General features: G+C 45.2%; 1 protein-coding gene across 42 annotated transcripts in view; it reads left to right on the top strand.

Annotated features, from left to right (window-relative positions):
* The window catches only part of DENND1A (DENN domain containing 1A), a 550,469-nt gene that overhangs the window by 462,986 nt on the left and 60,542 nt on the right, over window positions 1-26,941 (top strand). For 33 of the 42 annotated variants that reach the window (XR_007061334.1, XR_007061335.1, NM_001352965.2 and 30 more), the window contains 6 exons: window positions 9,244-9,348; window positions 9,706-9,793; window positions 12,362-12,402; window positions 14,794-14,865; window positions 16,392-16,448; window positions 26,650-26,781. Coding sequence is in view for 39 of the 42 variants with exons in the window: in NM_001352965.2 (NP_001339894.1) it covers window positions 9,244-9,348; window positions 9,706-9,793; window positions 12,362-12,402; window positions 14,794-14,865; window positions 16,392-16,448; window positions 26,650-26,781 (495 nt within the window). In the remaining 3 variants the exon portion in view is untranslated. The remainder of the gene's footprint in view (window positions 1-9,243; window positions 9,349-9,705; window positions 9,794-12,361; window positions 12,403-14,793; window positions 14,866-16,391; window positions 16,449-26,649; window positions 26,782-26,941) is intronic. The other 9 variants (XM_047423624.1, XM_047423625.1, XM_047423621.1 and 6 more) reach the window with 2 other exon arrangements.

Raw genomic sequence — 26,941 nt, 5'->3', positions numbered from 1 at the left:
ACCAGAACTTGCTTCAAATACAGAAAGAAGGCAATAATGTTTTTTTGTTTTGTTTTGTTTTGTTTTGTTTTTGTTTTTTTGGGTTTTTTTCCTGAGACGTCTTGCTCTGTCACCCAGGCTGAAGTGCAGTGGTGTGATCACGGCTCACTGCAGGCTTGACGCCCTGGGCTCGAGACTTCTTCCTGCCTCAGCGTCCTGAGTAGCTGGCATGACAGACTTGAGCCACTAGCCAAGCCCGGCTAGTTTTTTTTTTTTTTTTAAGAGATGGGGTCTAGACGGGGTCTCTCTGTGTTGCCCAGGCTGGTCTCAAACTCCTGGGCTCAAGAGATCCTCCCCACTCAGCCTGTGATGTTCTAAGAAACATGAATGACCAAGGAAACCTATCATATTTCTTATTTATGTTACTTTGTACTTAGCCAACCATTTATCCTGAAAATGATGACATAGAAGGAAAGGCAAAGATAAAACAACCATGGTTCCTTTACCTTTCTCATCAGTAAGCTGGAGATAGATAGAGAATGTGCAGATAGCAAGAAGTGAAATAGGCCAGGTGCAGTGGCTCACGCCTGTCATCCCAGCACTTTGGGAGGCCGAGGCAGGTGGATCACTTGAGGTCAGTTTGAGACCAGCCTGACCAACATGGTGAAAACCTATCTCTATGAAAAATGCAAAAATTAGCTGGGTGTGGTGGCAGGTGCCTGTAATCCCAGCTACTCAGGAGGCTGAGGCAGGATAATCACTTGAACCCAGGAGGCAGAGGTTGCAGTGAGCAGAGATCACATCGCTGCTCTCTTGCCTGGGAGAAAGAGGTAGACTCTGTCTCAAAAAAAATAAATAAATAAAAAGGCAGGCACGGTGGCTCATGCTTGTAATCCCAGCATTTTGGGAGGCTGAGGCAAGAGGATCATGAGGTTAGGAGATGGAGACCATCCTGGCTAACATGGTGAAACCTCACCTCTACTGAAAATACAAAAATTAGCCGGGTGTGGTGGCTGGCGCCTGTAGTCCCAGCTACTCAGGAGGCTGAGGCAGGAGAATGGTGTGAACCTGAGGTGGAGCTTGTAGTGAGCCGAGATCGCGCCACTGCACTCCAGCCTGGGTGACAGAGCGAGACTCCATCTCTAAAAAAATTAAAAAAGAAAAAAAGAAATAAAAACAATGGCGTTAGTTTTGTGCAGTGTTTCCACTGTCTGATGAGAACAAAATACAAATGTATAAATGCATGTACAAGCTATAAAATACAATTGTACATATGAGTTAGCATTTAAAACTGGCATTGCACAAGGCCAAGCTAAATGACAAAGTTCATGCCAATATAATTTACATTTTTATTTTTTCTTATAATGACATTAAATAGTACATTTAAAAGCATCATGATAGGTCTAAAAAGACACCATAAAAGAAAAAAGGTTTATATTTTAGTTCGGCACTTCTATATTTTAACAGCACTTTTTTCCTGCATATTTATTTTATATTTGGTCTTGCATATTATGTTGCCAGCCCTGGTAAGACCCAATCTCCACCCTCAGGGGAAACAGTTATTTGTTGAAAGTCTATTGTGAAAGAATCTATTTGTTTATCATCTGTTTTACTCTTCAAAGCAACCCTGTGAGGTAGGTTGGCATTGTATAATTGTCACAGACGAGGAGGGACAAGTTAGTCACCTAAGAGCACATAGCTAGTACAGTCAGGGTCAAGGTTCAAATGCAGGTCTTTCCACCCAAGCCACATTCTCACTCCACCATGTTGTGTCATCTAAATTGATCAAATAGAAACAGAGTTTTAAGTTTCCATACAGATGCCTCTACCAAAAAAAAAAAAAAAAAAAAAAATCAAAGACAAAAACCAGCCCTCTGGTGTGCTAGCTGTCACACTGTACTGTTGTTATTTGCTCCCTGAACTAGACAGGATTCTTTGATACAGGAGCTTTTCTTTTTAATGTTTTTTTTTTCTTTTTTTTGAGACGTAGTCTTGCTCTGTTGCCCAGGCTGGAGTGCAGTGCCACAATGTTGGCTCACTGCAACCTCCACCTCCCGGGTTCAAGCGATTCTCCTGCCTCAGCCTCTCGAGTAGCTGGCTGAGTAGCTGGGACTACAGGTTTGCACCACCACGCCTGGCTAATTTTTTTTTTTTTTTTTTTTTTTTTGTATTTTTAGTAGAAATGGGTTTTTGTCATGTTGGCCAGGCTGGTCTCAAACTCCTGACCTCAGACAATTCGCCTGCCTCGGCCTCCCACAGTGCTGGGATTACAGGCATGAGCCATTGTGCCCGGCCTTTTTAACTTTTTATTATGGAAAATTTCAAACTTATACAAAGTCAGTGAACCCATCTCCCAGCTTCCACTGCTATAAATATTCCATTATTCTATTTTTTAAGTTAAAAAAAAAGTTTTAATTAAAAATTTTGATTGTCCTTAAATATACATAAAATTTGCCATCTTAACTATTTTTAAGTGCACAGTTTAGTGGCATTAAGTATATTCACATTGTTCCATCTCCAGAAGTTTTTTTGTCTGGCGAAACCGAAACTCAGTACCCATTAAAAAACTCACCCTTCCCCCTGCCCCAGCTACTGGCAAGCACCATTCTTTCTGTCTCTGTGAGTTTGACTACCCTAGGTACCTCATACAAGTGGAACCATGCAGCGTTGATCTATTTGCGACTGGCTTATTTCACTTCACGTAATGTCTTCAAGATTCCTTTATGTTACAGCATGTATCAGATCTCTTACTTTTTAGGGCTGAATAATATTCCCTTGTGTGTATATGCCACACTTTGTTTATCCGCTCCTCCACAGATGAACCCTTGGGTTGCTTCCATCTTTTGGCTGATGTGAGTAGAGCTGCTATGAACATAATGTTCTGCCATTCTTACATTATCTATATTTTCATCCACTTCTCATCCCTCATTTAGTTATTACTGTTTGTACCAACTCTATTTTATTCGTGTTTGCATTCCCCTAACACAGAGCCTAGACCATAGTAAGTGCTTTAAAAATGTTTGGGTGTGTGGATGGATCTTCCAAAAGTATGTGTTTTCTTAATTTTAATTTGTATTTTATTGTTTTTAAGTTATGGGGTACATGTGCAAGATGTACAGGTTTATTACACAGGTAAACATGTGCCATGGTGGTTTGCTATACCTATCAACCCATCACCTAGGTATGAAGCCCAGCAGGCATCAGCTCTTTTTATTATTATTTGTTTTTTTATTTTTAATTTTTTTTTTTTTTTGAGCTGGAGTCTCGCTCTGTCTCCCAGGCTGGAGTGCAATGGTGTGATCTGGGCTCACTGCAACCTCTGCCTCCCGAGTTCAAGTGATTCTCCTGCCTCAGCCTCCCAAGTATTTGGGATTACAGGCACCTGCCATTATGCCTGGCTAATTTTTGTATTTTTGTAGAGATGGGGTTTCACCATGTTGGCCAGGCTGGTCTTGAACTCCTGACATCAGTTGATCCGCCCACCTCAGCCTCCCAAAGTGCCAGGATTACAGGCGTGAACCACTACTCCTGGCCGACATTAACTCTTTTAAATGTTAAGCAAGGTCCATAAAGAGGTCTGAGATTCTTTCCATTTCTCATAAGAATCTCATAAATGTGCACATAGAATTTTGATAAAAATTAAATCAGTAAAAGAAGAATGTAATACTCTATGGGTCTTCAGAACAAGGAAACTTGCTGAAAAATCTGATGAGAGATTTTATTTTTATGCCAATAAAAATATCAGCAATGCTGTGGATAGAGTCATTTATTTCTGGAAGTATCAAAAACCTTTGAAATCACCAATTTTACCTGTTAACAAGGATTCAACTTATTAATGATAGTGTTTCCGATGGATTCCATATGTCAAGAAGATAATCCAGGAGTAAAACTTGTCTTTTTGTAACAAAGTTCTCGACAGGGTTAAGCAGCTGTGTTTTACTGTCCTTCAGGTCATACTTGGAAAACTCTGCTAATGTGATCTAAGCTTGAACACTCACGGCCTGAATTCCCTGAATTAACACTGCTATCAGCCAGTAGCCCCAGCACCTAGAATGTCACCTAAGAAGACAAAGGGCTTAATCAGCCTCGTAGAACTAAATCAGCACTTCAGGGGAGAATAATGAGACACCTTGCCTTACTCTTCTCCATGCACAATGGAGTGGGGGCCGCCATTTTTACTTGCAGGACGCAGGTGGACGAGCTGGTGGGAGTGGCTTGGCACCTCACCTTGGGCCTGTGGCAGAAAGAGCCTTGACAGCGGTTTGTTTACTCCCAGGAGCTGTTTGTCACTGAAGGGCTGGTGCTTTGTGTGCAGGAGAACCTAAAGGGTTCCAATTTTATTTTTTTTGTTGTTTTTATTTTTTGAGATGGAGTTTCACTCTTGTTGCCCAGGCTGGAGTGCAATGGTGTGATCTTGGCTGACTGCAACCTCCGCCTCCCGGGTTCAAGTGATTCTCCTGCCTCAGCCTCCCAAGTAGCTGGGGTTACAGGCGTGCGCCAACACGCCCAGCTAATTTTTGTATTTTTAGTAGAGACAGGGTTTCACCATGTTGATCAAGCTGGTCTCGAACTCCTGACCACAGGTGATCCGCCCACCTCAGCCTCCCAAATTGCTGAGATTACAGACGTGAGCCACCGTGCCTGGCCAGGGTTCCAATTTTAAAGAGAACTCTCCTGTCCAGGGAGGTCTCAGGGCAAGCATTTAGGACTGAGGCTGCAGGGAGAAGCCAGGCCTGCAGTAGACCACATGCATGCTGCACACCTGGGTTTGGGAAGCCACCAGCTGTTAACCCTGACTCTGCAATGTCTGAATCCTGTCACCTGGGCAGATGTCTTTACCTCAGTTATTCCTCTGTAAAATTTGAGTGTAATTTCGACTTCATGAAAGTTTCCAGAATGTTAAAAAGAGTTGTGAAGTGCGTAGCACTGTGCCTCACAGAGAGTTAAACTATGATTATTGCCTTTGTCTTACAAGGTGAGTTGCTCCAGGGAAAAGAGCCCTCTGTGCCTGGTGCCATTCAGACCTTTATGCATGGTTCTGGGTGACAACGTCACTGCCTTGCAGCAGGATTAAGATAGAAGAGTTGGGCCCTGAACAGACAGGATTTGCTCACCTAAGTCCTATTCACCCTTCCAGGCGCAGCCGAAGTGTCCACTTATCATGTTTTCTGACCTGCCGCCCTGGAGAATTTGCCGTTTCCTCTTTGGACTCCTGTGGACACTTTACCCCCCACCCCACCCCACCCTGGTAACACTACACCATGTGATAGACTTTCTTCCCATGTCTAATTCACACATCTGATGCTGTTCTTTAAGCTCTTTTCAGAAAAAGCCCCTTGTCACATTTCCCCTGACTCTTTCCCTTCCATGCCCATGTCCTGTTGCATTTTTAGGGCGCAGACATCTTGTCCGGGGGATATCACCTCCCGTGAGCACACAACAGGCCCAAAATGTTTATGTCTCCCCAAAGGCGAGATTCTTTCTGCTCTCCTGCAGCTAAATTCTGCCTCAGACTACCTCATCTACGAATCTGGTTGCAAACTCTCTTGAATGTATCGGGCCCTCAGCAGACTTCTTCCTGGCAACCCTGAGCCAAAGCTCCAGGAGTGACTGCCAGCCACTTCAGTGAGCATTTCCTTGGAGCAGCTCAACTCCCTGTGCATGGGTGCCACTTGCCTGGCATCGAGCTCTGAGACCTCTTTACCATCAGGCCAAACAGTGTCAGAGACACACTGAGACCACACAAGGCTCCTGTGGCTGGAAGCAGGGTTCAACTCATTTCGTGGTTCTTTAACCAGCATCCCTGAGCTTCTGATTAGGGGCTGGGCTCTTCCTGGGGCGTACAGAGATGAGTTCAGCCTCTGGCCCCTTGAGCTCCTGGTGAGAGGGGATACCAGTGAAGACTATCCCAGCACCCAGGAGTGCACACGGCACTGGGATGAGTGACTGCCACTCAGAGGCCTGCATGTGTCAGGAGGACAGTCCAGGCAGAAGGAATAGAACTGGCAAAAGCAATGAAGAAGGTGAGGAAGGAAGGATGTGGTGTGTGATCATGGGATGCGTTTGGAGCATGAGGTATGTGGAAGAGCAGAGGCAAAGTGACACAGAAGGACTCTAGGAAAGGAAGCCAGGGTCAGCTTTGGGAGGGTGCGTTTGCTGGTTAAGGAGCTCTCCCTTTCCTCACCCCTATTGGGCCCTTGTGTGTGCCACATATGTTGCCAGGTGCACAATGTTGAACAAAACAGACACCATTCCGGCCTGCGTGAAGCATATAGTCTAGTGGGAAAAAGAGACATTAGTCAAATAATCGCACAAAGGTAACATCTATGCAGAGTTCCTGAGTAGGATAGTGATGTGGTCTAATTTGCATTTTAGAAAGCACTCTAGCCAGAAGAGCTGGAGTAGAAGAGGGACGAAACAGGAGAGGAGTGTGGAGTTAAACCTCCACCGTGGTTTAAGCCTGTCCAGGCCTACGCCAAGGTAGGCGTAGATGGAGAGCCGGGGGTGAGCGTGAGACAATTCACAGGTAAAATAGGAAGGAGTTAGAAAGTCTGATAGGTCCACTGTGGGTAACTGTGGATAATGACAGTTAAGAAAAAAATAGATTTGGGGCGCAGTCTTGATGGGATAGTAATTGGAAGTTTCAGGCTATTTTGAGTTTGAGACGCCAGCAGGCCATCAGGTGGAGGTTGAGATGGATGGGTATAGAGCTTCGGAAAGGTGTCTGAGCTGCCAGGATTTGTCAGGAGTCATCAGTGGATGAGTGATGCTGTGTGCATGGATGAGATCACCTGGAGAGAGAATTAATTGCCCTGCTCTGGTCCCAAGAGTGAGAACAAAACTTCCAAGCCACAGGAATGGAATTCTAGCTGAGCTTGTGTTAGTTATCACTAGCTGGTTTCTCAGCTGTTGAGCAAGGAAGATGTAAACCCATGCCAAAGTAATAAATGGCACATAAAGCTATTTTTCCCAAGGAACTAGTGTGGGGTTTTTTTCTCGTACACAAAATAAAGTTTGCATTGTTTTCCTTCTTGCTCCAGCAGCCAGGAAGCTCAGAGCTAATTTTGTAACTTAACTTAGATGCCACATAGGACATACATACCCAGCTACTTTTTTCCCAAACAAATACTTTTTATATATCTATGTATTTGGCAGCCCTGATGTTTTTCTTTGTTGTTTTAGATGCTCATATAAGCTGCCTCAGATCCTTTGTAAAATTAGGTAGGGTGTAACTGTATAAAAATAAATATTCTCCTTACCCTAATATTTTTGGGTCATCCTCACAGCCCTTGTGCAATAAGTCTGCCCAGCTTCTGAGTTAATATTGGCTAGATTTAAGCAGGAAGAACTCTTAGAACTTACGGAAGCTCGACAGTAAATTTAACACTCATGCAACTCATTAAAATAGTATAAAAGTGGAGCTTCAAACATCTCTGTGTTTGCTACCAGGGCTGGGGGGTGGGGTGTTACCCTTAATTCAGCTCAAGATCTGAAAGTCTGATCTTTCAGAATTGAGAATACACCGCTGAAATTAAAGACTTGTCTGTGTAGATAAGCACTCCAAACATGTTCAAAGAAAAAGTGAGGTGTTAGCTCTATACGGATAGGATTTTTTTTTTTTTAACTCAGGGTATCGTCTTCTTGACTCATAAAACATGGTTTGGTAAAAGCAAACTTGCTTATCAAACAGCATAAGCATAAAATCGATTGGATAGTATATTTTATTTTTGATCATCCCCGTTCTTTAATTATTTTAAAATTTCAGTTTGCTATTGTTTAAGGTCACTGTGTAAATGGTTTTCAAAGTATGTCCCACAGCCAGTGGCCTAGGGACTGCAAAGATGCCTGGGATGTTGGGGGATGAGGAGGTGGCCAAGCCTGGAGAACCCAGCCAGCACCCCTGCTCTACCCCCAGGTCCTCCAGAGCAGCTGATCTCTGCATTATGGAACTCAGGTAACAGGGTTCCTTCTGTATAAAATCTTATTTTTTTCTGAGATGGAGTCTCACTCTGTTGCCCAGGCTGGAGTGCAATGGCGCCATCTCAGTTCACTGCAACCTCTGCCTCCCAGGTTCAAGCAATTCTCTCCTCAGCCTCCCAAGTAGCTGGGCTTACAGGCACCTGCCAACACACTTGGCTCAGCTCATTTTTGGGTTTTTGTTTTTTTGTTTTGTTTTTTTGTTTGTTTGTTTGTTTGTTTTGAGACGGAGTTTTGCTCTTATTGCCTAGGCTGGAGTGCAGTGGCATGATCTTGGCTCACCGCAACCTCTGCCTCCAGGTTCAAGCGATTCTCCTGCCTCAGCTTTCCTAAGTAACTGGGATTACAGACATGCACCACCACACCCGGCTAATTTTGTATTTTCAGTAGAGACGGGGTTTCTGCAGGTTGGTCAGCCTGGTCTTATACTCCCAACCTCAGGTGATCCACCTGCCTTGGCCTCCCAAAATGCTGGGATTACAGGCATGAGCCACCGCGCCTGGCCTAGCAGGGCTGCTTCTGCATAAAATCCTATCTGAATAAAGGGTTCCGCTGCTAAAAGTGAAAAAAGTGAAAAGTTTAGAAATCTTCACATTGGAGGGCATGTCTCCCTAAATAGCCCTTGGGGTACGGAAGGGGATGTGGGGTGTAGAATCTGACTGTTGGTTCCTGCTCTGCCTTCTACCCTCTCTGTGACTTTGCGGGATGACTCTTCCTCTCTGAAACAGCTTCCTCATCCATAAAAGAAAATGAATTTCTTGATAATAGCTACTTCACTATTAGCTAGTTAGAAATAGTTAGATATTTCTATTATTAGATAATAGATAGTTAGAAATAGTTAGCTATTTCTAACTATCAGAGGGTTAGAAAAGTTAGCAGATGGGGGCCAGGCACGGTGGCTCACACCTGTAATCCCAGCACTTTGGAAGGCCAAGATGGGTGGATCACTTGAGTTCAGGAGTTCGAGACCAGCCTGACCAACATGGTGAAACCTCATCTCTACTAAAACTACAAAAATTAGCCACTTGTGGTGGGGGGCAGCTGTAATCCCAGCTACCCGGGAGGCTGAGGCAGGAGAATCGCTTGAACTCGGGAGGCAGAGGTTGCACTGAGCCAAGATGGCACCACTGTACTCCAGCCTGGGTGACAGAGTGAGACTCCATCTCAAAAAAAAAAAAAAGGAAAAGAAAAAAAATAGCAGATGGAGAAACTCTGCAAATAGGAATTTCAAAACTGATGGCTCTTGCTCCGTGCCACTGACCCACCTCTCCCCTCTGCACTTCCCAGGAGGAGCCGATCACTTTCTGTGAGGAAGCCTTCGTGTCCCACTACCGCTCCGGAGCCATGAGGCAGTTCCTGCAGAACGCCACACAGCTGCAGCTCTTCAAGCAGGTGCCTCCCTCCCTGGTCTGGCCTGGGTCTGGCTCCCTGGCGGGGATTTCTGCAGCTGTCTCCACTCTAAGTACTGAGGCCGCAGGCATGGATGGGACTCAGGCCCCAGGCAAAAGAGGCTCAGGGGAGGGGGATTGGATGAAGAGAGCAGTCACTGACCAGACAGACCCTTTGCAAATCTGCCGTGTGGTTTTCCAAGTTATCATAAATATGCAGCCGGTATTTTAGAAAGAAACTTGCCTGTTGAACCTTACTTTTTGAAAACTCCTACCTTGGATACAGTAAGGTGCCCAGCTGAATGGTTTTTCCCCCTTTTCTTTGTACGAGCTGTTGTGCTTTTGTTCCTTCTTTCTATAGTTTATTGATGGTCGATTAGATCTTCTCAATTCCGGCGAAGGTTTCAGTGATGTTTTTGAAGAGGAAATCAACATGGGCGAGTACGCTGGTGAGAAGCAACTCATTTTCCTTCCGGGGCTGCAGGCTGCTATCATTTAGGGCATATTTGACAAGGAGTGGCAGTGACTTGCTTTTCCTTTATTGGGGCTTAGGAAGAGACTGCTTTCAAGCTTGGCCTTGAAATGTTTGAAGAATTCCTCTTTGTTTTCTGACAAAATGCACCCTGGCCCATATGAAGTCGCCCAGCCTAGGATCAGTTGCTTCCCCTGTGTAGACAAAGTCTAGTTAAAGTAGTAGCCAGCGTGGTCCACTGGGAAGCACATGCAGTATTCAGTTAGGAGGCCTGGATTCAAGTTAGGACTCTGCCTCCTCACAAGCTGCAAGACCCTGGTTGAGTCATTTCCCCTTCTGTAGCTAAAGTTCCTATCCATGTCCTGAGAGTACGTACCGTGTCCCACCTCACAGGATTCCTGTTGAGATTAAATCAGAGTACATGAGGAAAGGTTTGTGCAGTCATCCAGGACAGTTCCTGGCATGGGGACTGTGTGCAGTAAGTTTTTTTTGTTGTTATTGTTGTTGTTTTTGAGACAGAGTCTTGTTCTGTTGTCCAGGCTGGGGTGCAGTGGCACGATCTCGGCTCACTGCTGCAACCTCTGCCTCTCAGGTTCAAGTGATTCTCCCACCTCAGACTCCTGAGTAGCTGGGATTACAGGCACGTGTCACCACGCCCAGCTAATTTTTGTATTTTAGTAGAGACAGGGTTTCGCCATGTTGGTCAGGCTGGTCTCAAACTCCTGACCTCAGGTGATCCACCTGCCTCAGCCTCTCAAAGTGCTGGGATTACAGGTGTGTGAGCCACCATACCCAGCCCTGTTTCTTTAAAATATGACAAATTATTGTTGAGTGCCTGGTCCCTGCAGATCTGAAGAACTGAAGGTCTTGTCTTCTCATTTTTCAGAGGAGGCATCTAAGGCCCAGAGAGGTGTTGGTGGCTGAGTCTACCTCCTGAATCCCAGTCTGACCTTCTTTCCAAATCCCATCGCCTCAGTCTTTGGCAGCGAAGGCAAAACCAGATGCAAAATAATACCCATGCTGCTGGCCCCCTTTTATTGCTGGGTGTGTGCCCATGCTGCTGGCCCCCTTTTATTGCTGGGTGTGTGTCTATTCTGGACTACTGTGATAATCCAATTGGCAGTTTGTAAGCTCACAGAGCAAGGCACAGTATACACCTATAAACATTGCAGGCCCTCCCAGCCTGTGCTGCATGGAGAGCACAGTTAAGAAAATCACCATGAAGTCTACAAACAGCAATAGCCAGTCACTGATAAGCATTTCCTGAACACCTGCTAGGTCCAGAGCCCCATAGAGTAAAAAGCGGAGGACCCAGTTCTGCCCTCAAGGAGTGTTAGGTAGGAGAGAGAAATGCATGACTAAAGACAATCAGAAATTAAACCAATTCAGGAAAAGGAGTAGAAACGCATTTCGCTGCGGTTAGACTAGGGCTGTGTTAATCCTCGCTGTGTAATGTGAGGGCTTGACAAAGGAGGCTGGGCTGGAGTTGTGTTCTAACGGTTGCATGTGAGTTCCAGGAAGAAAGGCTTTAGGTGTTGTTAAACTGAGCTCACTTATTCAGTAGGTTAAGACCCACCATTTAAAATGAACAGAGTTTACCAACAGCACATCCATTTTCTTTCTGTCTCACTCTCCGAGGGTTCAATGTGTGTCCAGCAGGGTCCTTTCAATGGGACACACAGCCCTGGGGGTTCCTGTTCTGGTGCCCCTCACAGTACTTCCCAGAGTACGGATGTCTCAGTGGCTGTTACCTATTCCCGAGGGCTGTTCAGAGGAAGGAGAAGCCTCCAGAGGACATCACATCTGAGCTGTCAAGTTTACTAAGCAGAGAGAGTAGGGCGTGGTGACTAGGCAAGGGAGCGGCATTTGCAAGGGCCTGCAGGCCTGCGAGGATGCTGGTTTATGGACCCCGTGGTCCCTTAAGTAGTTCCCCGTGGTGGGACATAAGGTGGTGCAGCATCACAGCAGCACAGGATGGAGAGGCCGTGAGGCGCGACTGGAGGAGAGTGGCACGGCTGCCTCGGAGCCTGACCTCCAGCCAGCAGGCAGTGAGGTGGCTGCTGAGTTTGCAGTCAGGGTACTGCATGATCAGCTCTGTTTGAGAAGGAAACCCTCTGGCAGTGACTCGCTGCCGCCTCCTTTAAGAACAGGACATGGGACCCTCCACCGGGTTCTCCAAGTCCTGAATGCTGAAAGCAATTTCGGCCAAGCGTGGTGGCTCACGACTGTAATCCCAGCACTTTGGGAGGCCAAGGCGGGTGGATCACTTGAGGTCAGGAGTTCGAGACCAGCCTGGCCAACATGGTGAAACCCCGTCTCTAGTAAAAATACAAAAATTAGCCAGGTGTGGTGGCGGGCACCTGTAATCCGGGAGACTGAGGCAGGAGAATTGCTTGAACCCAGGAGCTGAGATCGCACCACTGCACTCCAGTCTGGGAGACAGCGTGAGACTCCATCTCAAAAAAAAAAAAAAAAGCAATTTTAAGGACTCCCAAGGACAAATCACCTCTTTAAGTGACAGCTTCTCTGAATTCTCTTTCCCCAGGCAGTGACAAACTGTACCATCAGTGGCTCTCCACTGTCCGGGTAAGCATGCACCCAATTCAGAGCCCCCTGGACTCCCTCCTTAGCTTCCTGGCAGCCTTCCGCTTCCCTGTGCTTCCCCTTCCATCCTGGAGCACTCCATTCTCTCTGCTGGAGATGCCTTTGTTTGTAAAGCCAGGCTCTTCTCATGCCAGATGGAGACTAGAAGGGTGGGATTGTCCAAAGCCATCACTTGGTGGGGGCTGAAAAAGGCATGAGAGGCTTCCTCCTCTGCAGGAAACCAGCCAAGGAGAGCTGAATGGAATGTTGCTGTCTTAGAGCATTCGGGGGGTTCTCCTTCTAGGGCCAGAGCAATTGTCATGATCATGGGCAAACCAAAAATTGCTGCTGTGTAACCTCTTTCACAGCAAAGCTCCTGGGAAGATGGGGAACACATCACTGGGAGGTTGACTGTTGTTGTGAGGTGTCTTGATGTGTCAGGAGCCAGGGGCATAGGGCTTCCAACGTCTCTAAAGAATTCGAAATCTTGCCTTTCCCTTCCATCAGTTTATAATTGAGGTGTCCTGAAGGCCTACTGTGTGCCAGGCACCCTGCTGGGTACTGGGGATGCAGCAGGGAGCAGGGTACAGGCCCTGCCCTGGGGGAGCTCCCTGTCTTGCTGGGGAGGCGGGCACGAAGCAGGCAACTCCAGCATCAAGTGATAAGTGTTCCCTCCTGCTAATGCGTCAGTGCACTGCTGCCAGGCGAGTCCCTTGGAAGTGGCTGCAGTTGGCGGAGAGTAAGCAATTCCTTCATGAAAGACTTCCTTTGTTCCTCTTGTATGGCCAAACACAGCACTTGGCAAATCAGAGAGGAGTAATAAGGACTTGTTGATTGATTGATAAAGGGAGTTTCAATACTCCAAAGGACCATTTAAATGGGATACTGAGTAATTTTGGAAAGCAGTATGGAATAAATGAGTGGGTGAAAATTTCCCATTGTCCTACAACATAGAATGCTTTCTAGGTCAAATTGTAATGTTTTTAATTAAAGCTCAAAATTTCTAATGTGGGCAGTTACCAAAAATTGTGCTAAAAGTTAAGACCGATAATTACATTACTGTATCTTATTCTCTTAGGTACCCACTGGTTCCAGCCTCTCTCCATACGAATCAGTTTTTTTAAACCACCACAGACCTGATTCTGTGATGAATTTGATTAAAAACGCTCTGTAGTGTAGACCCCTTAGCCTGGCATTCCGGGCCCTTCACGAGCTGGCCCCATCTGGCCTCCCAGCCTCAGTTAATGCTTCTCTGATGATACACTCATGGGAGTGTGTCATGGCGCAGTACAGCAGCCACTTGTTACAGCATACGCCATGGCTTTTCAGCTTCTGCACTTTCTTTTTTGTGCTATTTCCTGTCCCTAGAATGTTCTCCTCCCGTCTCCTACATCAACTCCTATTTATCCTTCATGGACCAGGTCCAGTGTTTCATCCTCCAAGGCCTTCCCTGATCTTCCAAGTCTCCACGCTCCCTGTGCACACAGCCATTACAGCCGTCATCACACGCTGTTGTAATTATTTACTGTGCTGTCCTGCCTCTCCAGCTGGAGGTTTTGGAAGGCAGAGATCAGGCCTCCCTTGGCCTGGTGTCTTCAGAACCCTCACGACGTGTCTGCAGGGATGAGACTGAGAAATGGATTCACGGACAGCTATGAAAACGTGCCCTGTGCACTTCAGGTCCCTCCACTGCCTCTTTTAGGAGCGGGAAGGCCTTCCCTCCTCCTTCCTCCCACTTTTGCTCCTAAAGAAAGTGAGCGAGAAATTGCTGTGTTGGATTTAACTAAAGCCATGGTGAACATTTGTGGCTATTCATTCTTTCCTTTTTTCAAGATTTAGATGTTAAGGAAGGCAGCCTACCAGAGAGATTTAAAAAAACACCACAGAAAACCAAGGAAAGAAAAGGAAGTTGCACGGTGAGGGCAATGTATTTCCCAACGATCCTGGCTGATCAGGGCCCCACTTTCTGCCCCGGCTTGGTGTCAGCTATGGAGTCCACGGTTATTAAACTTACCTGAGTGTCATCCGTGGTAACTAGAATATCTTGAAAAGCCACAGATGCCCATAGGGAAGCCCTTGCCTTAGGCAGCCTGTGATGCAGTTCCCTCCAGCCAGGGAACAGGTGCCAAGCAGAGCACTGAGTCTAGAGTCTCCTTCCATCAATTCACACTCCTCATCCCCAGTCCATACACACCCACCCACAGCTCCCACCGAGAGTCCTTCTGTCATGACCATAACTGACTGGCAGGGACCAGTTATCATCCAGGCCTATTTCTCGATGTGCATTTACATACCTTTGAAATGTTGCTTAACTCGATTGAAGAGAAGCAGTCTTTGTTGGTGTTGGATGACTCTGTCTTCAGCCCAAATTGCTAATTGACATTTTTATTATAGAAAGGAAGTGGAGCAATTCTGAATACTGTAAAGACCAAAGCAAATCCGGCCATGAAGACTGTCTACAAGTTCGTAAGTACTGGTCTTGCTGTCAGGAGCCAAAACAGATCAGTCCCTTAGCATGATGAGACTCTTTATTTATTTACTTACTTTTGAAACTGGGTCTTGCTCTGTTGCCCAGGCTGGAGTGCAGTGGTGCAATCACAGCTCACTGAGGCCTTGACCTCCAGGGCTCAAGCAATCCTCCCACCTCAGCCTCCCCAGTAGCTAGGACTACAGGTGTGCACCACCACGCCTGGCTTTTTTTTTTTTTTGGAGAGACAGGTCTCAGTATGTTACCCAGGCTGGTCTTGAACTCCTGGGCTCAAGCAATCCTCCTGCCTCGGCCTCCCAAAGTGCTGGGATTACCAGCATGAGCTGCTGCACCCAGCCAAGCGATGAGACTCTTAAGTATACCTTGTCCTCTATTGCAGAGATGACTCAGGCTGCTGAGCTCTTTCCTGAAGGTCTCAATGTTCTTCAAATTATTTAGCAGATTATTATAACTGGTTCAGTGACATTTTTAATTTATAGTGTTGGTGCTCACATTTGCCACAGTAGAGAAATGGGAGGCTACTGGTTTTAGCTTTTAAAATGTAGACTAGGTGGCTGCACCCTGCCTCTGTTTCTGAGACCCGGAAGCATGGTCTATCTGGTGTCTGGCAAAGCCTTCCTGCAGGAATCCCCATTATTGGGTCAAAATAAAGCAGCTCCTTTGCAGTTTCCTGAAGCGTGTTCGTGGTGGCATACACCACTTAATTTTTGTCCCAAATTCTTCATCATCTCTCTGATCACTGCCCTATAGGAAATGCATTATTTGTAAGACTCGTGTCCACAGCGGAGTGAAAATAGGAGAGCACATCTGTTCCCGGTGCTTCATCTTTCACAAGCATCAAGTATTTTTTCTTGTGACTTCTCTTGCTTGCTAATTTGACCGTGAGCCACTGAAGCGGGGTGGTTTTATTTTATTTCCATTTTTAATTTTGTTAGTCCTCTCTGTGCTTAAGCTGTAGTTATTTTAGCAGGATGGGTGGCTGCCAGCAGAACCACACAGGTCTAAAATGACCTGAAATCAAAGCCAGGGTGTCTGCCAAAATGAGATTTAGGAAATGGCACTGTAGAAACCCAGCAATGTGTCTGTTCCGGCCATTCAGCCTGGGCAGAAAATTGGTCCTGGGGCCCTGCCCTGGTGAAATAGAATGGATATTCTGAATCTTCCAGCCAGAAATACGGCTGCCGTACTCTTACTGGTAGCTGTCACCAGGCTGCTGAGATAAATAATTATAGAGAGCAGAAGAAGGGCTTTGGAACGGAAAGAAAAAAAAAATCTGTGCCATCAAAATGCAGAAAATAAAATCTCTGCAGCCTCTTTAAGGGTTTTTTTTTAACCTTTTACCGTTGTATTTGTTTTCATAGCCATTATGTTTTCGACTTGATGATCCCATTTTTCCTTCCTTTTTCTAGTAATCAGAGAAGGTGATTCTCGATGGACTGAAATCAAGCATAGTCCCTGCTGGAAACAGAAAGGGAATCTTAACTTAAATTAATTTTTCATGCAGGCAAAAGATCATGCAAAAATGGGAATAAAAGAGGTGAAAAACCGCTTGAAGCAAAAGGTACTTGAAGTTCTTATTCAAAATGTATAAGCACCATGTATGAAATGCATGGCCACAAAAAAGTATGAGGGGATCAATAGAGGGCTGTTTGATACAGTGTTGTTAACACACTTCAAAATGCATTACCAGCTGTCCGGGAGTTTTCACACTGTTATAAATATTCACAGACAAAAAACTGTCTTCAAATAACATTAAGACTCTGGCTTAAACCCACAAAGGCAAGCAAGTTCAGAGTTGCCACTGTCGGGCTGTCCCTTGCCCACCCCACCAGGCCTGAGTTCACAGGCGTCTGTAGAAATTGGCTTGGTGTTCCCATCTGGCACCTGCCCACCCGCTATGGCTGACCTCTGCCCCAGGGCCGGTTGTAACCAAAACCAAGGAGCATCTCTAGGGAATGATTGCCATGGTCCAGCATGCACGTGGCCACCGCCCAGACACAGCATAGGGGGTGGGGCTGAGCAGAATGCCGTGGGCTTACCTCGCCCTGGGGGACCAAGTGAGCAGAACCCAGTGGGCGCTGTTGAGACTCTGAGTGGGGAGGGGAGGGCTCTGATTGTCTTCACCAGCCGTCAGTAAAAGTGGGATATCATCCCAGCTATGTCCTGGCTAAGATTCCCCCAGCCTGAATCTCCCTTTTTTTTTTTTTTTTCTTTTTTTATCTGACTTCTTTTGTATTTTATTTTATTTTAATTTTTTTATTGCCATAGCCTTTGGGGGAAACAGGTGGTATTTGGATACATGAGTAAGTTCTTTAGCTGTGATTTGTGAGATTTTGGTGCACCCATCACCTGAGCAGCGTACACTGAACCCAATTTGTAGTCTTTTATCCCTCACCCCCTTCCCAGCCTTTCCCCGAGTCCGCAAAGTCTATTGTCTCATTCTTATGCCTTTGCATCCTCATAGCTTGGTTCCCACTTGTGAGTGATAACATACAATGTTTGGTTTTCCATTCCTGAGTTATTTCACTTAGAATAAGAGTCTCCAATCCCATCCAGGCTGCTGCAAGTGCCATTGATTCATTCCTTTTTATGCCCCCAGATTGAATTTCTGGACTTAGACAGTGAGGTTACTGTAAGAGGGAGGGCTTTTTTATATTATTATGAATGCCATCATCATAATTACATCATAATTATTGTTGCCACCTTTTTTTTTTTTTTTTGAGACGGAGTCTCACTGTGTTGCCATGCTGGAGTGCAATGGCGCGATCTCGGCTCACTGCAACCTCCACCTCCCGGGTTCAAGTGATTCTCCTGCCTCAGCCTCCCAAGTAGCTGGGACTACAGGCACGTGCTACCACATCTGGCTAATTTTTGTATTTTTATTAGAGACGGGGTTTCGCCATGTTGGCCAGGATGGTCTCGATCTCCTGACCTCGTGATCCGCCTGCCTTGGCCTCCCAAAATGCTGGGATTACAGGTGTGAGCCACCGCGTCTGGCCTGTTGCCACCCTTCTTTAAGCTCCTCTTAAGGGTGGGCCAGACTAGGAGCTTTCACACTTAATCCTCAGAACAGCCCTGTGGAGTATTGTTCCCATTTCATGAGTAAACAGACCACAGTTCAGAGGTGAAGTCATTTGCCCAGGGCCACCTTGAGCCTAGCAGAGCCAGAATTGGATCCCAGCTCCATCGACTTCTGGTGGCTGTGTGTTCTTACCACTACTGCATTGCACACTGCCTTCCTCAAACAAGTGTTTTGTTTTCCAAAAGATGTTTGGGATCACCTACTTCATTATCCCTATGCCCCCAAACGTACCACTCTAATAAGGCCCTTTGTCTAGCTCTGCAGTTTTTAAAAAATTGAAAGCAGTTTTAATTTTCTGAAGTCAGAAAGGACCTCTAATTAACTTGAAAGGGTCGAAGGAATTGATTCCTTTCTTTTAATTGGAAAATAATTTGCTCTGACTAAGCATTTAAATTCTTAGTTTCAGCTGAGAGTGGATTTTTAACAGCTGAGATTCACATCCTGAAATAAAAGCTCTGTAATGTAAATCCAGATAGACCTTAAACTGTAGTCTGTTTGCACCCTGCCAGAGACTGGCAGGTGGCATTCTTTACTTGGATGTTATTTAAGTCCCTAAATATACCTTTTTATCTCCCATCCCAGTTGCATGTAGCTGAAATGGATTGCAGATATAAAATGGAGTGGCAGGGAGCGGAGAGTTTTCCCTCCTTGATGCCTGGATCGTAGGCTCGTTGGTATCAGAATATCCCCTGAAGTAAGCAAAGAAAGGGGTCCCTCCTCAGGCAAAGGCCCCATGCGCCCTCATTGGTCAGATCCACTCTCTGCAGACCGTTAAGCTACAGACATCACCTTACCTCCCTACTTGTATGTGCAAGCCTCTGGCCTTAGGAAAATCCCCTTCTTATGATAAGTAACATTTCTGCAAATAACCAGTTAAGCTCAGATTTTTTAATGTGGTTGTTCAAAGATTTGTTTAAACAATCTAGATCACTTTCCTTCCACTCTCTCTCCCTTTCTGTTCCTTGATAGTATCTAAAGCAGATGTCTCCCTCCCCTTCCCTTCCCCCTGCCAGTCTTTTCAAGAATAGCTTCAGGAGATAATGTTCTATAGAGAGCGTCAGTACATTTCAGGTGACACAAATGGTGAAGGCATTTTATAGAAATGTGGCTTGTCACCATCGGACTGTTGACAGATCTATTAGTGCACCCTTTTCAATTTTCACTTTTCCCCCCTTCGGTCGTACAGATTTCCACAGACTTGATATTTTGCAGTTGTTCTTGGAAGAGAGCTATTTTGTAATTGAAACTCTAGCATTGTTCGCATCTACGGGACTTGGGGCTCCAGCACTCTCCAGCGCCCTTTCTTGAGCTAATTTAGGATTTGGCTGCACCTGACCTCTCACATAGCAGTAGAAAATATTTCCTTGGTTTTTTTTTTTTTGTCCTTCTCCCCTTTCCCTCCTCCCCTTTATCTGGCAACGAATGTACCTCGTGACTCCCCAGATGCCTCTAATATAGACATCTCAAGTTTGGTTTCTGCCATGAAATCGAGGCAGTTTCCAACAAAGATCCAATTTTCAAATGTGCTGGGTTGCCACCTGGCCTCCTCTAACTCTGCATAGCAATGGTGACCTTGCAGATATAATCAAGAACCCAAGCTTGCCCTCTTCACCCTCGCCTTGGGTTTGAATTGCAAATAGAAAATGTGGGGCCGACCTGTGGAGAGGTCACCATGATGTATGGAGGGTCCATCTCTAATATGACTGAGCTGGGCCCCTTCTCCAACGCTTGTTCATTTGTGCTGCAGATTTTCAAAGCATTTGAAATCGGAGCTTTCAGGATATCTGTGTGACCATTGGCAAATAATTGTTAATAGATCCGATGGTGTGACTTTATTCCATACCTGCTCTGCTTCAACCCAACAACAAAAAAAGAAGGATGGATAACATATTTCTCTAGATAAATGGAGCAAGGTGGTCAGGTTCTTCTGTAGCTTGGCCTCCTTTGAAGTCTGACTTGCTCAAAATTGGGAAAAAGAAGAAATGGCAAAGATGCTACCCAGCCATTGCTTTCTAAGGAAGAGTGTAGTGCTTTCATCTGGAGTGTCTCCCTGCCAGAAGAATGCCTCCTGGATGGGCTCATGACTGTCAACAAATTGCATCCCACTGCAGCACCATGCAGGGCTGGCATGAGAATGCCCTGCTTTAAAAGCAGTGGCCACAAATCCATTTCTCCTCACCTGCAGGCAACGTTAAGATAGGCACGTAGGGATGTCCTCTTTTGCCTATTGAGGAACCCCTGAAATTTTTCTCTTTTTTCTTCGGTATCAAAATGATTTAGCCAAATGGGCCCATTTCACAGCCCTTTGTAAAGTTTCTGAATCTTTGATCTTCTTCTTTTCTTTTTTTTATTTTGTTTTTCTTTGTTTTGAAACAGGGTCTCACTCTGTCTCCCAGTGCAGTGGCACAATCACTGCAGCCTTGACTTCCCAGGCTCAAGGGATCCTCCCGCCTCAACCTCCAGAGTAGCTAGGACGACAGGCATGCACCACCATGCCTGGCTAATTTTTTTTAGGGACAGAGTTTTGCTGTGTTGCCCATACTGGTCTCAAACTCCTGGGCTCAAGTGATCCTCCCTCCTAGGCCTCTCAAAGTGCTGGGATTACAAATCTTTGATCTTTAAAAGACAAATCGAGCTTGTTGATTTAGAGTCTCTGTGATTGAAAGGAGCAAATTCACAGTTGGTTTCACAGAGGCTTGAATTTCTGGCCAAACTGTTCCCATTGAAGGGAGTGAGTAAGCATGCGTGGGGCCGGGAGAGCTAGGTAGACTTGTAGAACAGACATTTTCACACCTTATCACACAACTGTCAGCTCCCTGTCTCCCGACACATTAAAATACGCTGCAGCCTCAATCACAGAAATTCCAACTTTGGTTACTATTTTGATATCAATATTCATATTTTAATTTGCATTTGCTGTGCTGTGAGGTGGCCTGGGAAAAGAAGGGTGCGGCACGAGTCTGTAAATGGAGACGGGAGTTCTCACACCCGCAGCATGAGTCAGACGGGAAGGCCTCTGCCCATAGGGGCCTTTCAACTCCCCCACATGGAGATGTGGTGTTTGGGCTTCTGAGGCAGGCAAGTGGGACTCAGTGCTGGTTGTGTAGGATGTTAACTATGTGACCTTGGATAAGTTACAAGACCTCACTGAACCTAGTTTTTCTCATCTGTAAACTAGGGGAAATACAGGTTTTTGCTGGATCGTTGGAAGGAGTAGAAGAGATAATGTGTTGAGACAGCAACACTTAGTAGGCACTGAATAATTGAGAGTTTCCCTTTTGTCTGTCTTTTGTTTGTTTGTTTTTGAGATGGCGTCTCACTCTGTTGCCCAGGCTGGAGTGCAGTGGTGTGATCTCAGCTCACCGCAAACTCCACCTCCCAGGTTCAAGTGATTCTCCTGCTTCAGCCACCCAAGTAGCTGGGATTACAGGCACCCATCACACCTGGCTAATTTTTGTATTTTTGTAGAGACGGGGTTTTGCCATGTTGGCCAGGCTGGTCTCGAACTCCTGACCTTAGGTGATCTGCCCGCCTCGGCCTCCCAACATGCTGGGATTACAGGCATGAGCCACTGCATGTGGCCCTCTCTGTCTTCTTATGTCCCACATCTGGAACAGCCAGTCTGCCCACATACCCATGTGCACACACCTGGAGACCATGTCCAGCGTGAATGAATCACCTCCCTTGAGGTTGTCCATACAACCACCAGGGGAATCTTTGTAGGACCCAGCACTGACCAAGTCACTCCCTTGGTTAAAACATTTCAGACCTTTCAAACCTTCCACCTCCTTGCCTGGGGGCAGCCCAGGGGTGGAATGCCCTGGCCGCTGGGCCGCAGCAGGCCCTGCTGTCTGCCTCCCTGGGCCTGGGGCTCTACTCTTTCATCACTGGGTCATAAGTCCTTTCCTCAGCTCCCACCCCAACCCCTACCCAAGGCCACCCAGAACCCTCTTTGTCCTCTAGTCTCCCGAGACCCTGGGTCCTTACCTCCCCGATTTCTCATGGAGACTCATGTCCAGAGACTTACCGTATGCCGTGCCTGCCTTCTTCTCAGAGGGCTGGAGGTTAGAGCATAGTCATGGCTTCTGATTCCAGTAAACACTCAAGGAAAATAATAGGAATACAATGACTTTCTGACTGCCTTGCTTTACCGAGGGACGGGAACTGGCAGGACCCCCGTAACTCTCTGAGCTGAGCCTCGGGGCTCCAGGAAGAGATTTGCCACCCTGTGGTGGCCCCTGATATGTAGCTCTGTCTGGCGTCTTCCTCCTGTGTGACCCTTCGGGAAGAAGCAGGTTTAACCCTCCTGCTAGCTTCTTGTTTCTGCTTTTTAAAAATGACATTTAGAAGGTCAGGTTTTTTCCTGTTTCAAACAAAATTCATGTTTATTGAGGAAAACTCAGCAAATCAGAGGAACAAAAAATAATCTCATTTTATAACCTGCATTTTCATGTACTATATCCTGGGCATTTCCCAGACCACTAAATACTTCTTCCCCATGTCTTTATTTTATTTTGTTTTGTTTTATTTTTTGAGATGGAGTCTTACTCTGTTGCCTGGCGCAGTCTCGGCTCACTGCAACCTCTGCCTCCCTGGTTCATGCAATTTTCTTGCCTCAGCCTCCCAAATAGCTGGGATTACAGGCGTCCGCCACCATGCCTGGCTAATTTTTGTATTTTTGGTAGAGACGGGGTTTCACCACGTTGGCCAGGCTGGTCTCAAACTCCTGACCTCAAGCGATCTGCCCACCTTGGCCTCCCAAAGTGCTAGGATTACTGCACCAGGCCCACATGTCATTATTTTAAATGACTACATCAGATTTTATCTGATGGACATATATACATTATTTAATATTCCCATTGTTGGACCCTTACATGAGTTCCAATTTTTTCTAGACAAATATCCACATAGGTAAGACTTAGAAGAAATTCATATTATTTCATTAGGATAAATTTCTAAAAATGGGAGCAGTGGGCCAAAGGGCATATACATCTTTTAGGTTTTTCATATAAATTGCCAATTTATATTCCCATGAGAAGGGTATGAGAGTACCTGTTTTCTCAAGCCCTTTGCTGACAGCTACGTTAGTGCTTAGGCCACAGTTTCTTTAATCATGGGTATCAAAAGTTGCTGTTATTAGCTCCCTACTACGTATAAGATCTCTACCAGGAGATAGAACAGAGAATTTGAATGCCCCCCACCTTATTTTTTTCTTGAGACAGGGTCTCACTCTGTTGCCCAGGCTGGAGTGCAGTGGCCTGATCACGGCTCACTACAGCCTCAACCTCCCCAAGCTCTGGTGATCCTCCCATTTCAGCCTCCCAAGCAGCTGGGAATTCAGGCATACACTGCCGCATCCAGCTAATTTTTATATTTTTTTGTAGATATGGGGTTTCCCCATGTTGCTCAAGCTGGTCTCAAACTCCTGGGCTCAAGTGATCCTTCCACCTCGACCCCCTAAAGTGCTGGGATTACCGGCGTGAGCCTCCACACCCAGCCTCTTATTTCTTCCTTGACGTGGGCTCCTCCTCTTGTGCTGCCTGTGGCATCCTGAGAGGAAGCTGTTGTCCTTCTTCAGGTGGAGGGAATAGTAAAGAGGCTAATAAATTGGTGGCCTGCACCACAGGACTTTATAAGAAACCTTTTGCATCTTTGGATCTTCTAATAAATGAAGGTGCAGCACTGCTTTTTGACACGCAGGTACATCTGTGTATTGGACACATTTCCCTTCCAAATGTTTAACTCCACTTTACAAAGGTTTATTTGACAGCATGTGCTAGATTCAAGGCTCTAGGTTAGAGAACCCAGACCCCAACGAACTTACAGTTGATAGAGATACAAAAATAAGATAGTGCTAAGCATGGCAGCCTATGATCAGTGTAGCCAGGAGCTTCCGAGGAGAAGATTACATCTGAGCACTTTTTGAGCAGCTCCTTAATTCAGAATACCTTCACTTGTGCTGTCGTTATGGGATGATATGGCATAAAAGCACCAGGACTCCCATAGCTCTGGGTTATTCCACCTTCTAACTATGTGGCTTTGGGTAAGTTACCCCTTCTGAGCCCTATTTCCTCACCTATAAAAGCAGGATAATCCCATTTACCTTGTGATCATTGTGGGAACTAAGTGTGAGAATGAAGGTCAAGGGTCTGGAAAAGCACAGGGGTAGGCCGTCCACACAGGGAAACTCTTCTTTTTAGCAGGTGCTCTCTCCGTTTTGCAAATTGAGGTTCAATTTGCACAGTGCTGTGACATTTTTCAAAGCTTCCTCCTATCTCATTTCACCCATTCTCCCAGTAGCTTTGATGTTTGCCAAGCAGGTGGTAGTCTCCCATTGCAAAAATAAGGCAATAGGTGCAGAGAGGTTGAGTGATTTGGAAAGATTAGACAACTAGTTAATGGGAAAAACAAAACTAGACGATAGTATTTTTACTTATAAGCGTGAACTAAGATGCTTTTTCCAAAACTACTACATGAATTGTTCTTTTTTTCTAAATAACTATTACCTTAGAGTTTTCTATTAATACCCAGATTTTCTTACCATATTACCTTGCAGCTTCATTTTTTTTTCAGCCAAACACAAACAGGCACACACACCCACGCACAAAATTTTACCTGAACCAAAAGTGAATTTGTTCATGTTTGACCTTATTCATTCTCTCATATCTATCTTGTAGGATCTTCACCTGGATCCAAAATGCCCCTTTTGCCCATTGTTGTTTTCTAGCACAGATGGAACCCCTCCCCATCTTTTTCCACTTGACCTGAGCACCTTTGGACAGCCCCTTTCCAAAAGAGCTGTTTCTGTTTGGCCATCGACAGCCTCTTTCATCACTGAGCCTCAGCCTGGCTGAGACTGGTTGATCAAACGTGGGCCACCTGATCCAAGCCCTCCCAGTAAAGCCAGGAGGTCATCATCTCCCTTTGTTGTTTACCAAGCAGTACAGACTTCTCAGGTCTGGCCTCTACAGGCAGCCTTGATTCCTTAGGAAAGGAGGCCAGCTGGTAGGCAGCTGGATGTGTGAGGTCAAATATTGGTAGTAATGGTAGTAATTGGTAGTAATATGGTAATTCCTATAATTTACTGAATAGCTAATAATATTCTTGACACTCAGTTGTATTATCTGTCTCCTTTAATCTTCATGCTACCATATGCCCATTTCACAGATGAGGAAACTGAGTCTTAGAGATGTATATATGTTTCTTCCTTAATGCATAATTTTTCAATAAGGAATTACTTTCCTCCATGTCCCACCATTCTCTCTTAGCTGAGAAGTTAGGAGCAACCAAGTATCAAGTTTCTCATGTGCAGAATTTAATGAGTACTAAGGGGATATATTTTGTTGATCAAAGTGTATATTTGTTTTGCAATGAAAATAATTGGAACTTGTGTTCATTATATAATTCTGGCTGAGTTATTTTTATTTGGTAAGAAACATGATTATTTAAATATTTATTTGTACATGTATTCTCTGCCTTGTTCCAATGAAGGTTTAAGCAACTTCCTTGACTTGAATAAAACACGGGACCCTTATTGCATGAGTGGCCCCATCCATGTTCCAAATGACCCACGTGTATAGTCAGCTGCCAGCTTCAGCCACCGGAGCCATGGCCTGCCTTTTGCACATTGTGGTTTTTCTTTTCCTGATAATTTGACTTCAGTCATCAGAAGCACAAATTAAATGTAAATTTCTGGATTTAAAAAGATTTCTTTGGTCCCTAAATGTTTCCCAAGTCATAGAGTCCTGAGTCAGACTTCAATCTTTTTATTTTCTGCCAGAAAGATGAGGGGTAAGAAGGGGTAGGAACAAACACATCTTATTCACAAACAACAACATCATCAGTAAACAAATGTGGAAAAACTGTCCATACTCATAATTAAAGTAATGCAAATTAAAGCAACAAGTCAAATTTTTCACCTATTAAATTAGCGATACATTTTTAAAATGATACAGCTCACAAGTATCGTGAAACTGGTAATGCATCCATTGTTGGTAGTTGGTGTAAATTGGAAAGCAATTTGATAGGATGAATAAAAACCCTTGAAAATGTTTATATCTGTTGTCCTAGTAATTTCATTCCTGGGGATTTCCATAAAAAGAGATAATATGAAAGAAAGAAAAACTGCAGTATATATCACTGGCATTTTGAATGTTTAAAAAAAAATTAGAATCCTAAATGCCCAATAGTAGTAGAATATTGAATCGTGGTATATTAAATTATTGTATATCCGCTCAATGAAATATGCATTCAGTAAAATTATTTTTGTAATGACTTTGTAACAACATGAAAATGCTTATAATATAGTGGGGAAAAGCAGGATATAAAATTATGCATGAGCTGTGATTGCAAGTAATTTTTAAACGTCTGCATGTGGACAAAGTAAATACATAAAAATGAAAATGGCTGTGTAAGAGAGTAGGATGAACAATAATAATTGTTTTCCCCACTGTTGTGAATTATGATGTTATCTTTATAACTTCACATGGATGGTTTGGGTTTCTCTAGTTCTTAAAAGTCAAAGAGCCAAGTTAGCCCTCCATTCCCTCCATCTTCATCAAGAGGTCAGGCTCAGAATGTCACGGAGAGAGTCGCCTGGCAGGCCTCTTCGTTGTGGGGTGAGAGGGAACATGGGTGCCAGAACCCCAGTGCCAACCGCTGACTATCCTTCTCCCTACAGGACATTGCCGAGAATGGCTGCGCCCCCACCCCAGAAGAGCAGCTGCCAAAGACTGCACCGTCCCCACTGGTGGAGGCCAAGGACCCCAAGCTCCGAGAAGACCGGCGGCCAATCACAGTCCACTTTGGACAGGTGTGTACCCTGGCCCTCCTACCTGTCTGTTTTGTTTTTTTTTTATTTTTGTTTTTAGCAGCAGTAGCACATGCAGCAGACGGTTTTTCATTTCAGTTCTCTTTGGCAGTGCAGCTCCATGGAGGTTTTCACATCTTTAAATGTTTATTTGGTGCAAACA

The sequence above is a fragment of the Homo sapiens genome, chromosome 9, assembly GCF_000001405.40.
Source record: "Homo sapiens chromosome 9, GRCh38.p14 Primary Assembly".
Classification (NCBI taxonomy): Eukaryota; Metazoa; Chordata; class Mammalia; order Primates; family Hominidae; genus Homo; species Homo sapiens.
The sequence above is the reverse complement of the archived record's forward strand: the minus strand, read 5'-3'. Positions and strand labels throughout refer to the sequence as shown.